We start from the raw sequence: 12,765 nt of genomic DNA on the forward strand, positions 1-12,765 counted from the left end.
ATTAAAAAGAAAATAAAATCCCAAAGAATTTCGCAACATTGCGATTGCACTGGCTTGAGAACGAAGGAAGTTAGTCCCTTGCGGTGATCCGTCCTTTCATCCTGGCGTTTGCCTGCAGCAAGATGGCGGCGGTGTCAATGTCAGTGGTACTGAGGCAGACGTTGTGGCGGAGAAGGGCAGTGGCTGTAGCTGCCCTTTCCGTTTCCAGGGTTCCGACCAGGTAATAGAATTTTCACACTTTTCTTCAAGCTTCTTGGGTCCCTCCATTTTTGCGGAGTCTCTGCTGGCTGAGTTCCGGAGGAGGCCTCGGGGAAGGCGTCCTCTGTTGACCCTTTTCTCGGGAGAAGTCGGGCGGACTAGGGACTGTCTGCTATCAATGGGCGTTGGCCAGGCGAGTGAGGGCGTGAGTGCGAGGCCGGGGAGGAGGACCTGTGGTTTTCTGGAAGCTTTCGTATTCGGCTTGTCGCTGAGGGAGAGGGTCCGTGGAGGTTTTGCCTCCGGAGCTGCAAGCTGAACCTTAGCCCTCAGAGAAGGGGAGGAGTCTCACTGATTTCTGTTTCCACTTTCTGCATCCCTTCCATTTGTCACCTGTTTGCCCACCACTCCAGTCCTTACAGAAGGGTTAAATCACTGTATCCCTTCCATGGTTTTAAGTGGTTTTAATTTGGTTTCTGCATAGGAAGATTGTTTATTCATCAGTCTGCTTGGGAGGAAAACTTGTTTGGAATTCAGTGTTAGTAAAAATATCACTGCTAGTAATATTGGAAGGTAATTTTTAAAAGGCTGGTGGTAATGCCTGGAGGTTTTCTAGGGATTTTGTTAAAGCCTCACAATAATTCAGGGATTGAATTGAGTTGTTGAGGGCTCTTTGCGTCCTTGAGAACCTAAAGTAGTACTTTTCCAAAGTATTGTCAGATTCAGTTGTCAGTTGATTGAGTTGTTACTGTTTTTCCTTGAAGCATTTTTGTGATGATTTTTTTTTTTTTGGCTGTATTAACCTTCCATTTTCTATTTTTCAGAATTTCCTGGAGTTTTTTAAATTATAGTACTAATGCTATACGTACATACACACACATATTAGAACAAAGATTGGAAAGACTGGATGGAGAGATTTGAAGGGGGTAGGAGGTGGATGCAAGTGGTTAAAAGTTGAAAGGAAGGTCTAGTAGAATGCTAATTGATTTAGTGTTAAATATAAATGGAATGCAGAGAATTAGGATGAGTTAATTCGGAAGAATTTTTAAGGATGAGTTTTATTAAGGTTTAAATATAGTGGGTGTTGGGTGGGAAAGAAGAGAGTGTCCCGTAGGGTCCGTGGCTTATGAAAAGGCTTGAAAGCATTAGTTAAACGATTACTAAATACATAGAATAGAGTCACTCAAAAGTAAGGGTGCTAAGATTGGGGAAAGGCAAATGATGTTTGTAATTAAGTGTTCCATATATGGAAAGTATTTTTCCTTTTTCTTTCTCTTTTTTTTTTTGAGATACATTCTCACTCTGACGCCCAGGCTGTAGTGCAATGGCGTGATCTTGGTTCACTGCAACCTCCGCCTCCCGGGTTCAAGCAGTTCTCCTGCCGCAGCCTCCTGACTAGCTGGGATTACAGGCGCGCACCACCACACCTGGCTAATTTTTGTATTTTTAGTAGAGGCGGGGTTTCACCATGTTGGTCAGGCTGGGTTAAGTATTTTTCTAAGGTAAAATACTTCACTGGTTAACTTAGAGTTAATATAGCGGTGACCAAGATTAGCCCTTCCTCCCGTACAGATTATAGGGATTAATTGTCATTCCCAGATAATAATGTACTCATGGTAGCCCCAGAACTGAAAACAAGTTTGAAGGGACCACTGGTTTATGGCTAATCAAAACATGGCTGTAATTTTAAGTCAAAGCCATTTTGTCAGCAATTATAGTAATTGAAGTTGAGATTAGATTTTTGAAACTCTGATGATAATTGTTACTACATATCCAAACTTAAGAGTTTTTGCCTGCAAATGTAAGAGATTTGAAAATAAATCATTTAATCTTGAAAAAAAATCTTAATGCCAGGGAAGACGTTTTTTAAATACAAATTAACACATTTATTTGTTTTCTGTGCCACATTTTTACCCTAAGAGCTTGTCATGTTCATCCTAATTTGAGGGAAATTTATAGACCCTCTCCCTTACATATTGTTTGTTCTTCATCCTTAAGCATTCTTTTTCCATTATGATTTGATAGTAATGAGGATCTGAAAAAGGTGAGTAGAAAGAACCAATTAATGGGAAAATCTACATCTAAAATTCATTTTATTGTAATGCTTAGAAAAACATTTGCAAATCATGTAACATTTCAGATCATTTGAATAGAATATGGGAAGTGGAATCAGTAAGGTAAGGAGTGGAGTAGGGAACTGAAGGAAAGGAAGGGCCGGGCGCGGTGGCTCACACCTGTAATCCCAGCACTTTGGGAGGCCGAGGCGGGCAGATCACAAGGTCAGGAGATCGAGACCATCCTGGCCAACACGGTGAAACCCCGTCTCTACTAAAAATACAAAAAATTAGCCAGGCGTGGCAGCGTGCGCCTGTAGTCCCAGCTACTCAGGAGGCTGAGGCAGGAGGATGGCGTGAACCCGGGAGGCAGAGCTTGCAGTGAGTCAAGATCGCGCCACTGCACTCCAGCCTGGGCAACAGAGCCAGACTGTGTCTCAAAAAAACAAAAAAAAAAAAAAAAAAGAAAAGGAAGGATGCTGTTAGCTGCTACATTAACATATTAATTCAATTATAGTATATCATCAGTGAAAAGCAAAACAAAGAATGCAACAACACATACACACAAGAGAGAAAAAATCTAGTAATGTGGGTGATTGAGCTGATCTAGTTACTTACTGAGCTTGTGCTGTAGTGTTGGTCTCAGTTTCCATGTGCTTCTCATTTCCCTGTACCGAATGTGAGGAGGCAAAAAAAGGGGTTAAATTGTCTACATTTTTTTTTTTTTTGGAGATGTAGTTTCGCTCTTGTCACCCATTCTAGAGTGCAGTGGCACAATCTCAGTTCACTGCAACCTCTGCCTCCCGGGTTCAAGCGATTCTCCCGCCCCAGCCTCCAGAGTAGCTGGGATTACAGGTGCCCACCACCTCGCCCAGCTAATTTTTTTATTTTTAGTAGAGATGGAGTTTCACCGTGTTAGCCAGGCTGGTCTCAAACTCCTACCCACAGGTGATCCACCCGCCCCGGCCTCCCAAAGTGCTGGGATGACAGGCGGGAGCCACCGCGCCCATCCCTAAGTTGTCTACATTTATCCTTACTTTCCCTGACTTTCCTAAGAGATTTTCCAGGGTAAATTTAACTATTCTAAATGCATTTATCAGCCAGATGAAATGGCACTCTATTTCAAAATAGCTATACTTAAGATATTTGATGCAGTGATGTTTTTATTCACTTATTTAAGTGTGTTCATGTATACTTATCTCACCTTAGTATTTACTAGGTCTTGTGTTTTCCTCAAACAAGTCCTTAGGGTGTTAAATCACCCAGAGGGTTTTAATTAATGACTGGTGGGGACTGAGTGTTTGGGACCTGTTTGTGAGGTCTCTTTTATGCCCTGATCTGTGGCTTTATTCTGTTGCTGTGTTTGGTTCTTCAGCATTATATAAGCTAGCATGAAATTGAGTCTTCAATTCGATGGGGAATTGAATTTGAACCCTCCAAATAGTAAGCAGTCCTTAAGGTTGACAAGAATTCTGTTTGTTAACACCTTGCTGGGAAATAGGCTAAGCTCAAATTTAGGACACTTAAGACCAATAGGTTCACTTCTACTTCAGATAAACTAAATAAATTCCTCTCCTAGGGGCAGCTATTTTTGCTATCTTTGTAACACATCCAAGCCAAAGTTTGAGAGCTTGAAAGATTTCTAATATGTTTTCTGATAGGTTTATTTGTTTTGTTTCTTTTCCTCTTTCCAAATGCCCATACTTAGTTTTCATCAGTAGCAGACATCTTCGTTGAATTTTTGTTAGGAAAATAATTATTATATTTTGAGACAGAGTCTCATTCTGTTGCTCAGGCTGGAGTGCAGTGGCGCAATCTTGGCTCATGCAACCTCCACCCTCTGGGCTCAGGTGATCCTCCTGCCTTAGTCTTCACAGGCAGCTGGGACTGTAGGTGTGCTTGCCACCACGCCCAGCTAATTTTTGTATTTTCAGTACAGACGGGGTTTCACACTGGTCTTGAACACCTGACCCCAAGTGATCCGTGTGCCTTGGCCTCCCAAAGTGTTAGGATTACAGGCATGAGCCACCGTATCCAGCCGGAAAATTAAATATTTTAATATGTAATGTCGGCATATAGTAAGCCTTCCCTAGATAAATGGTAATTTTATTATTGGTTTGAATGGCCTGAATGTTTTTCATTTCTTTAATCTTGGTTGTAAGTATTGTGATAGATTGTGTTATTGTTTAAAGTATTCACTACCACTGTCTGCAACAGGATTACATATCCAAAAACCACTGGCCAAATGACTTGCTTTATCCAGTGAAATGTTAGTGGAAATGATATACCATGTCAAACAGGAGCTTTGAGAGCTCTCCTGTGTTTTGTCATATTCCTTTTCCCTCTGATGTGAGGTAGGTGTACTCCAGGTGGGGTCTGCTGTTTTAGCCCACATCTTGGATTGTAGACTACATAGTGCAAAGCAGAAACTGATTCTTATTGCAAGATTTTATAAAATATAAATTGAGTGAAAAATAAACCTTTGCTGTAAGCCACAAAGGTGTTTGGATTGGTTACCTCAGCATAACAACCTATGCTGACTCTATTTTATATACACTCATATTTGCAAGTGAGCAGGTTTTAGCACATGGACCGATATATCAGCAGTGAGGTCGCAAGCTTTTTGAGGACACAACCACATTTTTGTTTATTTGTGTGTACTTCATGGCATCTAGTGTAATGGCTTGCATGTAGCAGGTAAATGCTTATCTTACAGATGAATAAATACATATTTAGAGATGAGCGATTGTGAGGAAAAGCAGGGAGCATTACGCAGTGTTTCTTTTAATACCCTCATCAGTGATAGCCAGGTAGGCACTAACCTTTATAAATATGAAGATAAACTATCTACAACACATATTCTAATTATTTGCAGTGGTCTGAGTGTAGGATATTCACCTAGAACTCTGTTAACTTTTGGATTGAAGTTGTCTTATGAATAGATTTTGTATTCATACACTTTGACAAGTGTTCAGACACTTCTTTTGTATTCAAATTTAAAAATGCAAGAGGAAATGAATGTTTGGGAAAGGGTACCCTTGGAACATGAGAACTTTTTTGGAGTAAGAGTAACTATGCGAAGTTTTAAAAAGTCAGTAATACGGCCGGGTGCGGTGGCTCACGCCTGTAATCCCAGCATTTTGGGAGGCCAAGGCGGGTGGATCATGAGGTCAGGAGTTCGAGACCAGCCTGGCCAACATGGTGAAACCCCGTCTCCACTAAAAAATACAATAATTAGCCGGGTGCGGTGGCGGGTGCCTGTAATCCCAGCTACTCGGGAGGCCGAGGCAGGAGAATCGCTTGAACCTGGGAGGCGGAGGTTGCAGTGAGCCGAGATCGCACCACTGCACTCTAGCCTGGGTGACAGGGCAAGACTCCAAAAAAAAGTTAATAATACACGGAACTTAAGGGAGAAAGATGGAGCAACTTGGTTCCTGTATAATACTTGCTAGAAGAGATCTGTTTGGGGTGAGGTATACATAGAATTTAGTCAGAATACATATTGTCTGTACTGAATACAAACAATTTCAAATGGAAGAGCTTCTAAAACATGTCCCTTGGTAGAAGTTGAGAATCGTTTATTCCAAGCAAAATTAATTCCAAGTAGCATTTGTTTTTAATTTACTCTGTATCAGCTACTGTGCCAAGGATTTCACCTGTATTATCTCATGTGTTTCCCACAGTAATCCTATCAACTCAGGTGTTGTTATCCTCATTTTTCAGATGAGGAAACAGGTACAGAAGTGAAATTACTGAAGTTTACATTGCCAGGAAATGTAATTGTCTCTTGGTATCCATGAAAGATTGGTTCCAGGACTCCTCAAGGACACCAAAATCCACGGATGCTCAAGTCCTTGATTTAAGATGGTGTAGTATTTCCATATAACTTCTGTACATCCTCCTATATACTTTAAATCATCTCTGGATTACTTATGATACCTAATACAATGTAAATTCTCTGTAAATAACTGTTATCCTGTATTCTTTAGGAAATAATGAAAAGAAAAAAGACTGTACATGATAAGTACAGATGCAGTTTTTCCTCCCCCACCGCCAAGTATTTTTTTTTTTTTTTTTGAGGTGGAGTCTTGCTTTGTTGCCCAGGCTGAAATGCAGTGGCGTGATCTCGGCTCACTGTGAACTCTGCCTCCCAGGTTCAAGCAATTCTCCTGCCTCAGCCTCCCGAGTAGCTGGGATTACAGGCGCGCACCACCACGCCTGGATAATTTCTTTGTATTTTAATTAGAGACGGGGTTTCACCATGTTGGTCAGGCTGGTCTCAAACTCCTGACCTCGTGATCCACCTGCCTCGACCTCCCAAAGTGCTGGAATTACAGGCGTGAGCCACTGAGCCCAGCACCCCTTAATATTTTAAATCTGAGGTTGGTTGAATTATGATGTGGAACCCACAGATGCAGAGGGTTGACTGTAGTCTGATATAGCAGTCTAAATGAATATGTTCACTTTTGCAGTGAGGAATATTATGTCTGGTAATAATCAGTTCAAACCCTAATGTCCTCTCTGTTTTTTCTGCCTTTTAGCCAAGTGTCTTCTTTATTTGAGAGACCATGGAATGCTCTTATCTTTACTGTTGCTGCATGGTTCCATTTGTACAGTGAGAGTTACCAAATGCACAATTAGTTGTTTACTTTTTTAAGCTAATGATTTTTTCCCCTAAATTTTGTAATTATTTTTGGTAAGGGACTTTTCATAGGTGACTTATTATACTTTTTTACGCTCTTAAAAAATATATATAACAAGATATACTGGACATTTTTTTTTTCTGTTTTCTTACTGATTCCAGTGATTAGGAAAAACGGTTGTATTGTGTTGTCTTTAAAAACGATTCAGTGTCTGCTATGCTTTCTGAGTTCTCGTGTCTGCTTTTTAATAGTGTTATATTCTTCCTTGACTGGTCTGCTTCCCTTTAGCAGTTTTAGCACCCCTTTTTCATTTATTATGGATTTGAATGTCAAGCAACTAAACCTATTAGAATTTTGTATAAAACAAAGTATGCTAAATGAAATTCTGATGATGGCAGAAGTTTACTTTTTATGATTAAAGACTTGAGCTCTTTTAAGGTTAACGAATAATTATATTTAATATATGAGCTCTTGTGACTTTTCTTTTCTAGCTTGTAGAAGTCCATAGATCCTGATGGAACCTTTTTGAACCTGAATTATGCAGTGACCACATTCTTCATAACAACTTTCATCTAAACATATGAATAATTTAATAAACTATTATAAATTTTTTCTTTTAATAACAGAGCAATTCAGAATTCTTGTTTCAAGTTCTATTTTGTTGTCTGTTACTAAGTATTTTGGTAGGTAAATATGACTTTAGGTTCTTTAGAACTAGTTAGTTGCTCAAAGGTAACCTTTTCTTCTTGTCTGTACTCACTAGACTTAATTTTTCTTTTATGGGCTCATTCTCCAGTTCACTGGTTTTTAAACCCTTGTGCATCAAAATTATCTGTTGGGTGCCTAAAAAATTCAGATGCCTTGCCCCCCAGTCTATATTGGTTCAGTAAGTTTAGGTTGAGGCTTAGCTCTATGGTGATTCTAATGGGAAGCTAGGGCTGAAAACGGATTAAAAAAAAAGTTTCCATATTATATCTTGTAAGACTTAGGAAATATATTTTTCCTTGGGAGAGAGTTCAGGGAGATTTCCAGAAACAAAAATTCTTCCATTTTTGCATATTTTTCTATTCTAAATTAAGTTTTATGCTTTTCACCCATGCACATAAGAGGTATTTTCTTGGGGAAAGTTTCCTTAGAGGGAAAAAAGGCATTTTGATAATTTTGGAGAAAGCAGGCCATATTACTCTCTCTCTAGAGACTCTTATTCTTCCTTTTGGAAGGGCTCAGGTTTAATATAGCACAGCTGTTGAACTCTGCCCTTCAAAATTTTAAGAAAGTGTTTTATCCTTTAAAATGGAAAAGGCTTTTTTAGGAAGGTGGTCTTTCACTGGATGTAGTTCTCTAAGAAAGTTTCATGCTTCTCTACTCTTTTGTGTTTGAATCGTTTCAAATGTTGAGAGAACTGTCTCTGGGAGTAAAATCTGGCTGCTTTTGCAATATATTTTCTGTATTCTTAAACAAAGCTATATGAAGAGTTTATTTCTTTGTGTTTTCTAGGACTCAAAAATATGTTTTTTCCTTTATTCAGCCACTTCACACATAAGTAAATGGTCCTTGAATAGGGCTTACTGGACAAAAGATTCTGTTCTAGATGACTGTTCAGCAAGCCATATGCTTCTCCTAAAAATGTCAGTCTGTCTTGATGAGCTTTAAAGTGAATACAGATGTTTTGGCTCTTTTGAGGACTACCACTCTTTGTATGGAAAGAGTACTTCTTTTTCAAGTGATCTCTTCAATATACTTACAGGAATTTGCATGAAATTTATGACTTTTGCCTTTTAAGTCTAATAAGATTAGACTTAGACATGTGTAATTTGAATTTAATTTTAATATTCGTAGTACAAATGAGATTTGGGGAATAAAATACATTTCATAATATGGCTTTTTGTTCAGATTTTGTATTCAACCTTTTAAAAAATGTGAAAGTGCTTTGTAATATTTACTTTTGTGCAATAAAAAGTGATATTTTGGCAGGCAAGGTTACCTTTTTAGATGTTCAGTGTCTTCTATCTTTGTAGGTTAACTCTGGAGTTATAGTTCATAGATTTATGTAATATTTAAGTTGGAAGAAAACTCTAGAATCATTAAGTCCAACCCTTTATTTAATGCAAGAATCCCTAGAACTTCCTGCTTCTTGATTATCTAGTTGTTGAGGAAGTTTGGTGACTTTCTGATAACCCCAGAAAACACACTATACGTTTAGACTTACTGGTAAGTGATGTTTTTCTTTGAAACTGTATAGAACAAGTTTAACCCCGTATACACTTGTCAGCCCTTCAGATAATTGAAGACATTTGTCATCACTCATTCTTCCTTCAAGTCTGTGCTCCAGGCTTAGCACGTCCAGTTTGTTTACTCTTTATTAATGATCAAATTTCCTGACGCTTTACTACCTCTTGGTACCCCTTAGGATGTTTTCCATTTTGTCAGTGTTGATCTTTGAACTATGTACTGTACTTTTATTTAAATGAGATTATCAGAGATGATAGTTTCATGAGCTGAGATTGAATTAAGGAAAAAAGTTGACTCTAGGTTGGATTTATTTTATATTATTTTTAAAATTATAAAGAAAAATTAACTGTTTTCCTTTTGGTGTATACTTCTTAGAGTTTTAACACATGTATGGGTTATGTGTAACCACCACCATAATCCTAGTACAGAATACAGTGTAATATGCAGATAACTGTTTTACTGTATTGTTTCAGGGTGCAGAATACCAAAAGACTTCATTACCCCAAGACTCCCTCATGTTATCCTTCCCTGACCGCTGTAATCCCTGTCCACAGTTATCTTTTTTCATCTTTATAGTTTTACAGTTTTGAGACTGTAATATAAATGTAGTCATATATAACCTTTTGAGATTGTCTTTTTTTATTCAGCCTGGTGCCTTTGAACTTCATATAAGTTTCATGTATCGACAGTTTGTTCCTTTTTACTGCTAAGTAGTATTCCGTTATGTGGAGGTACCACAGTTTATCCATTTACCTATTGAAGGACATATGAATTATTTCAGGTTTTTGGCAGTGTAAATAGAGCTTCTGTACAGGATTTTATGTGAATTATGATTTTGTTTCTCTAGAGTAAATACCTGGGTAGAAGATTCCTGGGTCATAGCTAAGTGTATGTTTAATTTTATAAGAAACTCTCAGACCGTTTTCCAGAGTGGTTGTACCATTTTGCTTTTCACCAGCACCATATGAAAGTTTTAGTTGTTTTGCATCCTTGTTAACATTTGTATTGTATTTTTTTTTCTTTTTTTTTTTTTTTTTGAGACAGAGTCTTGCTCTGTCACCCAGGCTGGAGTGCAGTGGCACGATCTTGGCTCACTGCAAGCTCCGCCTCCCAGGTTCAAGTGATTGTCCTGCCTCAGCCTCCTGAGTAGCTGGTATTACAGGTGCATGCCACCATGCCCGGCTAATTTTTGTATTTTTAGTAGAGACGGAGTTTCACCATGTTGGTCAGGCTAGTCTCGAACTCCTGACCTTAGGTGATCTGCCTGCCTCGGCCTCCCAAAGCGCTGGAATTACAGGCATGAGCCACGGCGCCCGGCTGTGTTTTTTATTTTAGCCATTCTAGTAGGTGTTTAATGGTATTTCATTACGGATTTTTATTTTGGAATGGCTTTATTTAGCTATAATTTATATATTATAAAATTTACTCATATAAAGTATACAATTTGACTGGTTTTCATATATTCCCAGAATTGTACAACCAAAACCACAATTTTAGAACATTTCCATCACTCAAACTCTGTACCCATTAGCAGTCGCTTCTCCCCCAGTCCTAGATAACGACTAACCTTCTTTTTGTTTCTACAGATTTGCCTATTCTGGACATTTTATACAAATGCAGTCATATAATATATGGTCTTTTGTGACAGGCTTGTTTCAGTTAGCATAATGTTTTCAAGGTTTATCCAAGTTGTAGCATGTACCAGTACTTTATTCCTTTTTATTGAAGAATAGTATTCTATTGTATGGACAAACCACATTTTATTTTTGAGGGACATCTGGATTGTTTCTACCTTTTGGCTACATGAATAGTGTTCTGTGGACATTCAGATACAATATTTTATGTCAACATATGTTTTTATTGTTTTGGGTATATACCTCGGAGTAGAATTGCAGGATAATGTAATAACTCTATATTTAGCCTTTTGAGTAACTGTCAGACTGTTTTCCAAAGTGGCTGCACTATTTTACATTCCCACCAGCAGTGAATGAGGGTTCCAGTGTCTTTGTATCCTCTCCAACTTTGTTATTATCTATCTTTTTGAAGTTATAACTATCCTAGTGAGTATAAGGTGGTACCTCATTCTGGTTTTGACTTGTACTTCTATGATGGCTAACTCATTGTGGTTTTAATATGCATTTCTCTAATGGCAAATGATGTTGAACTTTGGTGAAGTATCTGTTTATGTCTTTTGCCCATTTTTAATCATGTTATTTTCTTATTGTTCAGCTTTTATAGTTCCTAAAATATTCTGGATACAAATTCTTTGTCATGTATGGGAAAAAATATATCTCTCTAGGTTCATGGTTGAGCCCCCTACAACTAAAGACAGATGAAGAAGAGAAAAGCATACACATGTATTTAATATAAATTTGTGTAACATGGGAGCTTTCATAAGGAGATAAATATCCAAAGAAACAGTTAAACTTGTATATTTTTATGCTTAGGTTTGGTGAAGAGTAGATAGGGAGAAATATGATAGAACAAAGGGGATTTGGTATATGGTAATAAGCTGGGGGAAACAGCAAAGCCAGTTTGTTCTGATTCGTCTCTGACTGACCATTTGTCTTCAGAGATAACAATGTTCCTTTCTTTCTGATATAGGGAAGACACCTCTCACATGAGAGTTTTATAGGGAAGGTTAGATAATCCTAGATTTTATAACCTACTTCAGAGAAGAAGGGATGGGGGAAGAAGGTCAAAGGTACCTTCCTACTTCGGCCGTTTTTCAGTATTACAAGGTGGCACATTTTGGGGTAGCATGTCCTGAACTCTACCAATCAGATGTGTAATTTTCAAATATTTTCTTCTAATCTGTAGTTTTTCTTTTTCATTCTTTAACATTATCTTTCACAAAGTAAAAGTTTTAAATTTTGATGAAGTTAGTTTACTAGTATTTTTCCTTTTAATGATTGTGCTTTCGTTGTTGAGCTCTTTGCCTAACCCCAGGCTGTGAAGATTTTTTTCTGTATTGTCTTCTTGAAGTTTTTTTTTTTTTTGGCGGAGTCTCGCCCTGTTGCCCAGGCTGGAGTGCAGTGGCGCAATCTTGGCTTACTGCAACCTCTGCCTCCTGGGTTCAAGTGGATTCTCCTGCCTCAGCCTCCCAAGTAGCTGGGATTACAGGCATGTGCCACCATGCCTGGCTAAGTTTTTGTATCTTTAGTAGAGACGGGGTTTCACCATGTTGGCCAGGCTGGTCTCGAACTCCCGACCTCGTGATCCACCTGCCTTGGCCTCCCAAAGTGCTGGGATTAGAGGCGTGAGCTACCGTGCCTGGCCTTTGTTGTTTTTTGTTTTTTTTTTTTGTTTTTTTTTTTTTTTAAGAGACCAGGTCTTGCTCTGTTACTCAGGCTATAGGGTAGTGGTATGATAATGGCTTACTGCAGCCTTGACTTCCCGGACTCTAGCGATTCTTTCCCACCTCAGCCTCCTGAGTAGCCAAGACTACAGGTGCATACCACCATGCCTCGCTAATTTTTATATTTTTTTTGTAGACATGGGTGTCTCCCTGTGTTGCCCAGGCTGGTCTTGAACTCCTGGGTTCAAGCAGTCCTCCTGCCTAGGCTCCCCAAAGTACTGGGATTACAGGTGTGAGCCACTGCACCTGGCCCATCCTTCTTTTTGAAAATTGTAGCTATTTT

General features: G+C 38.7%; 1 protein-coding gene across 5 annotated transcripts in view, besides 1 other annotated feature; it reads left to right on the plus strand.

Annotated features, from left to right (window-relative positions):
* Nucleotides 1-500: an enhancer, noted in NCBI's record as "active region_22547". NCBI's record gives its function as "activates an Ori minimal core promoter by ATAC-STARR-seq in GM12878 lymphoblastoid cells {active_cell/tissue: GM12878}" and the evidence as "EXISTENCE:reporter gene assay evidence [ECO:0000049][PMID:35858748]".
* The window catches only part of NDUFS4 (NADH:ubiquinone oxidoreductase subunit S4), a 122,700-nt gene continuing 110,033 nt past the window's right edge, over nucleotides 99-12,765 (plus strand). For all 5 annotated transcript variants that reach the window (NR_134475.2, NR_134473.2, NR_134474.2 and 2 more), the window contains exon 1: nucleotides 99-220. Coding sequence is in view for 2 of the 5 variants with exons in the window: in NM_002495.4 (NP_002486.1) it covers nucleotides 123-220 (98 nt within the window). In the remaining 3 variants the exon portion in view is untranslated. The remainder of the gene's footprint in view (nucleotides 221-12,765) is intronic.

The sequence above is a fragment of the Homo sapiens genome, chromosome 5 (assembly GCF_000001405.40).
Source record: "Homo sapiens chromosome 5, GRCh38.p14 Primary Assembly".
Taxonomy (NCBI): Eukaryota; Metazoa; Chordata; class Mammalia; order Primates; family Hominidae; genus Homo; species Homo sapiens.